The sequence below is a fragment of the Homo sapiens genome, chromosome 20 (genome assembly GCF_000001405.40).
Source record: "Homo sapiens chromosome 20, GRCh38.p14 Primary Assembly".
Taxonomy (NCBI): Eukaryota; Metazoa; Chordata; class Mammalia; order Primates; family Hominidae; genus Homo; species Homo sapiens.
In genome coordinates this window covers 50723015-50731148 of record NC_000020.11, presented here as the reverse complement: position 1 = coordinate 50731148, position 8134 = coordinate 50723015, and the positions used below count along the sequence as shown (strand labels likewise).

The window sequence follows — 8134 nt, the reverse complement described above, 5'->3', positions numbered from 1 at the left end:
GTGCTGGAGTTTCCGCCCCGGGAAGGCACGCGGGGAGGCCGGCCGGAAGCGCGAGCGCACCTGAAGAAGGGCTCGGCTGGGTGGGCCTTTTGCGCACGCGCGAGCGCGCGCCTGGTTGCCCGGCTCCGCCGGGGCTCGCGCCGCTTAGCGCGCGCCAGTCACACGCACGGTCCAGGGGATTGGATGCGCCGCCCGTCCGGTTGCCGAGGCGCTGCGGGGCTATTCGGTTCCAGCCGGGCCCCCTTCCCGCTTCCACTTTGGGATGCTGCAGCCCCCAACGACGCCCCTCCACCGCCCCTTATCGTTGCTTAGGCGTCCCGCTGCAACTCTTGGTTGCAAAATTCAAGTTTTCCCGCCTCTGCAGCGGTTGCTGGGGGAGAAGCTTAGGGCTCTCTTGGCTTCATTTTGTCCGAAGAGACTCTGCACGCCTTAAGTCCGTCAGGTCGAGAGGGAAGGAAAGTGGGCTGAGGCGCGGGAAGGCTCCTTGCAGGCCCAGCCTCCCTGAGGATTTCTAGTCCAGTCTTTCAGGGCTTTTTTTTTTTTTCTTTAAAAGTCTTCCTTTTCCCTCCTCCCGCCATTCCTTGGCCATTCGCTGTTTCTACAAATGACAGCCTCTAGGTTGTGTTCGTTTCCCGGAGTGACCAAGCTGTGTCCCAGAGCAACAAAACGCTGAATCCTCCTCTCTGAACGTCCCAGAGCCCGGCCTCTCTTCACACAGACCCTGTGGGTCATGGGGAGGAGAGGAGAAGACTGAAGCTTTTGGCTGGAGGAGATTCCCAGGTCCCAAGGTCTCCCTGTGGGACCCGGGAATCCAAGAGCTGTTGAAACCTGCAAGCCAGGAAGGGGGCAGGGGAATGGAGGTGGAGGGGAAGGTCCAACCTGAGATTTGGCAAGAAGAGTGGTTAGGGTACCTTCCTCCCCTCATCTCCCTGCCCACCTCGGAGGCCTCCTAACACTTGTACCCCTGTTGCCCAGCACTTGTTACAAGTTACAGGTTTCCCATTTTTGTGTGCATCTGAGTTTTGTGAGTAATCTGCCACCAGCCTAGAATGAAAGCTCCCGAAGGCGCAGGGACGGCTTGTGCTTTGCTGGCATTGAGTGGCACAGAACCCGACTCCCAGCGGGTACTCAGATGGGTCTTTGCTGGGTGCTGCCACTGAGGGTGTCCCTTCTGCAGGCTCTTTGCCCCACTTGGGTTCAAAGGCGAGAAGCTCATTTTTTTCCCTCTGGAGGATTCAGGTAACCAGACGTTTTGTGGGAGGATTTAAGGTTTTTCTGGCCACCTGTGGCAGCACAGGTGGAAAGGACACCAATCCAAGCTGTATAATAAATAAGCAAGCTGCCTCCACCCCCTGTTTGAAAGCACATAGGAGGTGACTCAAGTTCAGCCGGAAATAAAGTGCATGTCAGGGCCTGTAACTCCCCTGTTTGGACTAGCACAGCAGTTCCCAACCTTTTTGTTTTCAAGACCCCTTTACACTATTAAAAATCATGGAGGACCCCAAAGTACTTTGTTTATGTGTAATGTCTTTCAATATTTATCTTAGAATTAAAACGGATGTGTCCAAAACATGGGAGTACACAAGCATGCATTCCAACAGTCATCAGAGTGATGATGTCATCACATGTCTTGTCCCTTCTGGAAAACTCCATTGTATACTCGTGAGACAATGGGAATGATGAGAACAAATGACATCTTAGTTTTGTGAAAGCAGTTTTGGCCTTGCAGAGACCCCCGTAAAGGGGTCTCAGGGACTCCCAGAGACCACACTCTGATCATGGCTGGACTAGATACCATGTCACCACCTTTAGAGAGCTCCGTTCTTAGGTCTCCTCCTCCTCTCCCTGATTGGCAAGGCCACACCCTGGGAGCAGCACCCCAGCTCTGTGTGAGTGAGTGTTGGGTGGTTGAGTTTTACTCCTGTTATCGGTACTGATTTATCAGGAAGTTCGTGGGTGCCAGTGCACCTGCGTGGGCCCTGCATTCCTGGAGGTGTCGTCACATCCTCTCTCCCTTCCCCAGGTGTGGCATCCCTCTTTACTTGGACTTTCCTTTCTAGAGGGAGGGCCAGGCCAGAGCTTCCTGGATTTCTTAAGGAAAATTATTTCAACCCGTGCGCCTGGGTTGTATAAGGAAGAAAAGTAGAAAATAGTTGGAATTTGATAAAGGTATTGTGAAGGAAGAAAATCCTTTCATTCTGAGAGATGTTAAGGCCACAAGTGTGTTCACTGGGCCTGAATTTCAGCCTTTCTTGAGAAGCATGATCAGCACAGACGAGGATTTTATATTCCCGTTTCTTCCATTTGAAGGCTAACCCTAACCTTATTTCTGTCCATCATCCCTCCCCACCCCCAAATCCTCAAGCTAAAGCTGATCAAGACTTACAAGTGGCCTAAAAAGCTAGTCCCCTGCCTGGGAGAATTAATACTCAGTGGGTTAGGGAGATAAGTAAGGTGAACATATGACATTATGGACTCTCTAAATTATAGGTTCACAGAATCGTTAGTCCAGAATGGGCTACCAGAGATAATCACGCCCATACACTGTCAGGCCTCTCCACTCTCTGAAAGAAGTTAGTGAAGGTTACACTCCTGCTTTCTGCTCCTTTTCAATACTGTCTGTGTCTTTAGGTTCTACAAATACCCTGTTGTGTTTGTTTGAAAGCTACCTTGTGAGGTGAAAGGAGTTTGTAATTTTCCACAATTAGTTTTCTTAATTCATTATTGTGTAATGATTCTTCTTCCTTTCCTTCTTCCTCTAACTCTTAGGAAAAAAAAAAAAGGTGGCAAGAAGTCATCTGTAATGCTGGTAAAAATTTTTTCAATAAATTTCTCTTGCCAGCTCTTTTTCTCCTTGATTGCACAAGTTCCAATTCTGATGGAGCTGGTTAATCATTCTTTGAGAAATAGTTGAAGTGTATATTTACGAATATCAGACTACTCACTGAAGCATTTTAAGCCCTTTAGCAGAGGTGGAATTAAGTCACATGATCTGTTTTCTGGTTAATAGCTTATAATACTGTACTGCTTTTTGCGCGGAGCTGGGGTGGTGGTGCTCACAGACAGAGAGACGAATGAATTGTTTTCTGTAGCCTTTAGGACGTGAGAGCCCTTTTAGGTAAAAACTCAGCTTTGCAGGAGGCAGTATGTGCCAGGCACGGTGCCTAAGCCTTGCCCTTGGCTTGGTCTGCCACGGGTTTGCTTTCTGACCCCTCTCTCGGACTCAATTTCTCCATCTGTAAATGCAGGACCTGATGAGATCATCTCCACAACCCCTTCCAGCTCATAACATTCTATGGTACTCCAGGGATAATGGAGATTGATCATTATTTCAACATTACCAGGGATGAACTGGAATGAAAATAATAATCTTTCCATCAGGGTCAACAGACAGGCTGCAGTCATCAGCCAAACTATTCCACTTCCCAGGAGGTGTTGATGAAGATAGTTGATAGTTAACATTTATGAGACCTACCAGGTGCCAGAAACTGGCTAAGCTGCTATTTACTTATTTGATTTTAAGTTGCATGAAATAACTTCATATTTGGAGGCATCAGATCTTTGTTTTTTAAACTGATAGACATTTATTTGAGTCGTTGCTCTGCTCCTTGCTGTCTGGGTGACCTTGACCCTGTTCACTTAACCACTCAGAGCCTCAGATTTCTCCTCTGTTCCTCTATAAACAGAAGTAGACAGCAATGCCTACCTCACCAGATTGTTGCAGGGCTCAGATGAGGAACCATACATGAAACTGCTCTGCAAACCATCAAGTCTGGTACAGATATTACTGGGTTTCATTTAGCAAATAATGTTGCCTACCAAAGCCTTTGAAAGGAGTTCCTTGAAATAAAATGGAAATGTGTAATAAATAAATGCTTCTTTTTGTTTTCACACCGGGTAACCTCTCAGTAGACATCCCTCAGAGAGGCCAAGAGCAATCATTAAGAGCATGACTCAAGCCAGATACATACAGTTGAGTCCTGCCTCTGCCATTTTCTAACTATGTGACCTTAGGCAAGTTCTTAACTTCTTTGAGCCTCTGTCTTCTCATCCGTAAAATGAGCATAATAAGACAATGAATTGTTTTAATTCATATACAAAGCACTTAGGATAGTGCCCAACGGAGAGTAAGGATGCCCTAAGTGTTACATATTATTGTCATTATTGCTGTCTAATTATTTTTATTACCTACTGTCATAATATAATTCATTAATGTAGCATGTATGTAATGAGCCCCAACTGTATGTATAACATTGTGCATGGAGATAAAGGAAAACAACAACGAAAGAATGACACTGTGATTGATTCCTGCCGTTGAGCACTGCACCTTCCATGGACAGACTGCTCCAACAAACGTTCCTGGAGCACCTACCATGGATCAGACAAAGAAACAGACATGAACGCGACAGAGTGCTTGCCTCCAAGGAACTCAGGGTCGAGCTGAGAAGTCAGACTCATGGAGAGGGAACCATAAACTCCCCTGGAGATGGTGGGCACAGCAGCTAAGGAGGCGGGCACTAGACTTGACCATTCAGGGGTCACATGCGGTTCTGCCACCACCCCGCTGTGGAACCCTGGACACTTGTCTCTCAATCTTTGTTTCCTCAGGTAAAATGAAGGTAGTAATAGTATCTACCTTCTTTGATTTAATTATTATTGATTGAGGCTGGGCGTGATGATTCATGCCTGTTTCCTAGCTCTTTGGGAGGCCGAGGCATGAGGATTGCTTCAGCTCAGTAGTTCGAGACCAGCCTGGGCAACATAGTGAGACTCTGTCTCTATTCTTTTTTTAAAACAAATTATTATTATAAGGCTTGGAGCAGTGGCTCACGCCTGTAATCCCAGCACTTTGGGAGGCCGAGGCGGGTGGATCACCTTAGGTCGGGGGTTCGAGACCAGCCTGACCAACATGGAGAAACCCCGTCTCCACTAAAAAATACAAAATTAGCCGGGTGTGGTGTTGCATGCCTGTAATCCCAGCTACTCGGAGGGCTGAGGCAGGAGAATTGCTTGAACCCGGGAGGCAGAGGTTTCAGTGAGCTGAGATCATACCATTGCACTCCAGCCTGGGCAACAAGAGTGAAACTCCATCTAAAAAAAAAAAAAATTATTACTGATTGAGTATCTATTATGTGCCAGGTACTAGTCTATTTTTTTTTCTTTTTTTTTTGAGACAGAGCCTCATTCTGTTGTCCAGGTTAGAGTGCCGTGGCATGATCACAGCTCACTGCAACCTCTGCCTCCCGGGCTCAAGTGATCCTCCTACCTCCAGCAAACGTTCCAGCTTCCCAAGTAGCTGGGACTACAGGTTCGCACCACTGCTCCTGGCTAATTTTTAAATTTTTGTAAAGACAGGGTCTCACTGAATGGCGTGAACCCGGGAGGCGGAGCTTGCGGTGAGCCGAGATGGCGCCACTGCACTCCAGCCGGGGGGACAGAGCAAGACTCCGTCTCAAAAAACAAAACAAAACACAACAAAACAAAAAAAGACAGGGTCTCACTATGTTGCCCAGACTGTTCTCGAACTCCTGGACTCAAGCAGTCCTCCCACCTTGGCTTCCCAAAGTGTTGGGATTACAGGCACGAGCCACTGCACCCGGCCCCATGTAGTATTCCAGATGTTAAGGAAATTGTAGTGTTAAAAAAAGACAAAATCCTGGAGCTGACATTTGCAAATAAATGAATTTAAGTATATAGTGTGTAAGTGATAAGAGCCATGGAGGAAAATAAAGCTGGGAAGTGGGATGGGAGGCCTGAGGTGGTGGAGTGAGGAGTGGAGGGAGAAAGAAAATTTAAAATAGGGTAGCAAGATGGCTTCTCTGGGACATTGGAGGTGAGAAAGTGATCCTTGTGTTTCTGCAGGTTTAGGGGGCCGGGACTCAGGATGGGGCGTGAGGATTAAGGGAGATAAAGCTCACTTGGTGCCTGGCACACAACAGGGCTCAGAAAGCACCAGCTGCTATTTTAAGCTATTACTCAGTGCTAAGGCCAGGGGATGAAAGGAGAAGAGTGGGAGCAGCAGAGAGAGAATGACTAAGTCAGCCCCGGGGCAGGGGGGGTCTGGAGTGTTTCACGGGTGAAGTGACTTAGTGCTAGGGCTGAAGAATGAGTAGGAGTTTGCTAGAGGCACGGAGGGGAGGAGGCATTCCAGGAGACAGAGCTTCACAGGCAGTGGTGTGGGGGCAGGGAAAGAACATGGTGTATTCCCCAGCCAGCGCGTAGAGCGTGGGTGTGCGCTGGGTGGGGGCCCTCTCTGGAGATTGGGACTGGAAAAGTAGGTGGGAAGCAGATTGAGAAGGGCCTCGGAGGCCATGGTGCAGAGTTTATGCTGGGAGACTCCACACATTTAAAACTGGGGAATGAAAGAATCAGATTTGTGTTTTAATAACATCTACTGAGGAGGCAGGCAGTGGGGCAGCAAATTAGTGAGACTTGCAAGGAAGGCTGTGATTAAATGGCCAAATAAGTGGTGTGGCCTGGGGGGTTTAGGGAGGAGGGAAGGCATCCATTCATGTATTTTTTCATTCATTCAGCACATATTTATTAAGGTGTAGCTAAGAGCCAGGCACAGGCTAAATGCCCAGGTTACAAGGGTGAGAGACAGTCAGCAAGTGCACCAATGTGGGGTGGAAGGAGAGGCTGGGTGGGGACTGCAGGGGACCAGAGCTTCCGCCCCGCAGAAGGGACTCACCTCCAGTCCATATGGCTCCAGCTGCGTGGGAAGGAGGGCTTTGAAGTGGGCAGATCTGATTCTTTAAGAGAGGCTGGATGGTTTTTGTTTGTTTTTTTCAGAGACAGGGTCTTGCTCTATTGCCCAGGCTGGAGTACAGCGGTGCAATCATAGCTCACTGCAGCCTTGAAACCCTGAACTCAAGCAATTCTCCCACCTCAGCTTCCTGAGCAGCCAGGACTACAGGCGTGTGCCACCATAACTGGCTAGTTTTTTATATTTTTTTGTAGAGATGAGATCTCACTATGTTGCCCAGGCTGGTCTGGAACTCCTGAGCTCAAGCGATCCTCCCTCCTCGGTCTCCCAAAATGCTGGCATTACAGGTATGAGCCACTGCATCCAGTTAGAGACTGGACGTTTTTATGTGAAACTTCTTGATTTTTAAATGTTGGCAACTAATCAAACAGGGTACAGTGAGTGAAATGAGTGGAGCAAGTGTGTGTGTGTGTGTGTTGTGTGTGTGCTTGTGTGTGTGCATCCATGCACGTGTACATGCCTTTGCTTAGACAGAGGCATGAGCCACTGTACCCGACCAGGCCTGGAGCTTGGAGTGAAGGAGAAGAATGGCTTAAAATGAGACTGAGGCCAGACATGGTGGCTTACGCCTATAATCCCAGCACTTTTGAGAGGCCGAGGAGGGCAGATCACTTGAGGTCAGGAGTTCGAGACCACCCTGGCCAACATGGTGAAACCCCATCTTTGCTAAAAATACAAAAATTAGCCGAGCGCGGTGGCACACACCTGTAATCCCAGCTTCTTGGGAGGCTGAGGTGGGAGGATTGCTTGAACCCGGGAGGTGGAGGTTGCAGTGAGCCGAGATTGTGCCACTGCACTCCAGCCTGGGTGACAGAGCAAGACTCCATCTCAAAAAAAAAAAAAAAAGAGAGAGAGAGAGACCGACCATGGCCAGATCATGCAGCCTCTTGCAGGCTATGACAAGGACATTGAATTTTATTCTGAGGTCATTGAGAAGCTATCTTGGAACAATTAGAAATAATTTTAAGATCTGTGGCATCTGAATCAGACCTAGATGATGGGAGAAAAGGAAGAGGTGTTCTGGGCAGGAGAATGGCAAGAACAAAGGTTTGAGCAGAGGTTGATCAAGGTGAGGACAGTGAGGCAGGCTGTTCACATGGAGGGATGTAAAGACAGTGGGAAGCCTTGGGAGATGACATTTGAATGGGGAGGCTGGCGCCATTTTATAGAGATCATCGAGGCAAGATCTTTAGTCTCTTCCAGATTTTATCTTGTAGGCCAGAGTGTCCCAAATGTGACTGAGGAAAAGAATTGTCTTGGGTGCTTATTAAAAATGCAGATTCCAAGCGCCTCTTCTGTGATCTCATGTCTGGTAGTCTGGAGCGGGGCCCAGGAAACCTATAATTATTATTATTTTTTGAGACAAGG

At 48.1% G+C, this 8134-nt stretch overlaps 4 annotated features.

The window, feature by feature from the left end:
* Positions 17–226: a silencer, noted in NCBI's record as "silent region_13024". NCBI's record gives its function as "represses an Ori minimal core promoter by ATAC-STARR-seq in GM12878 lymphoblastoid cells {active_cell/tissue: GM12878}" and the evidence as "EXISTENCE:reporter gene assay evidence [ECO:0000049][PMID:35858748]".
* Positions 417–466: an enhancer, noted in NCBI's record as "active region_18094". NCBI's record gives its function as "activates an Ori minimal core promoter by ATAC-STARR-seq in GM12878 lymphoblastoid cells {active_cell/tissue: GM12878}" and the evidence as "EXISTENCE:reporter gene assay evidence [ECO:0000049][PMID:35858748]".
* Positions 1419–2618: an enhancer, noted in NCBI's record as "P300/CBP strongly-dependent group 1 enhancer chr20:49345068-49346267 (GRCh37/hg19 assembly coordinates)". NCBI's record gives its function as "activates an origin of replication core promoter dependent on BRD2, BRD4, P300/CBP, MED14 and CDK7 cofactors, with strong dependence on P300/CBP, by STARR-seq in HCT116 cells {active_cell/tissue: HCT116}" and the evidence as "EXISTENCE:reporter gene assay evidence [ECO:0000049][PMID:35650434]".
* Positions 3575–3684: a silencer, noted in NCBI's record as "silent region_13023". NCBI's record gives its function as "represses an Ori minimal core promoter by ATAC-STARR-seq in GM12878 lymphoblastoid cells {active_cell/tissue: GM12878}" and the evidence as "EXISTENCE:reporter gene assay evidence [ECO:0000049][PMID:35858748]".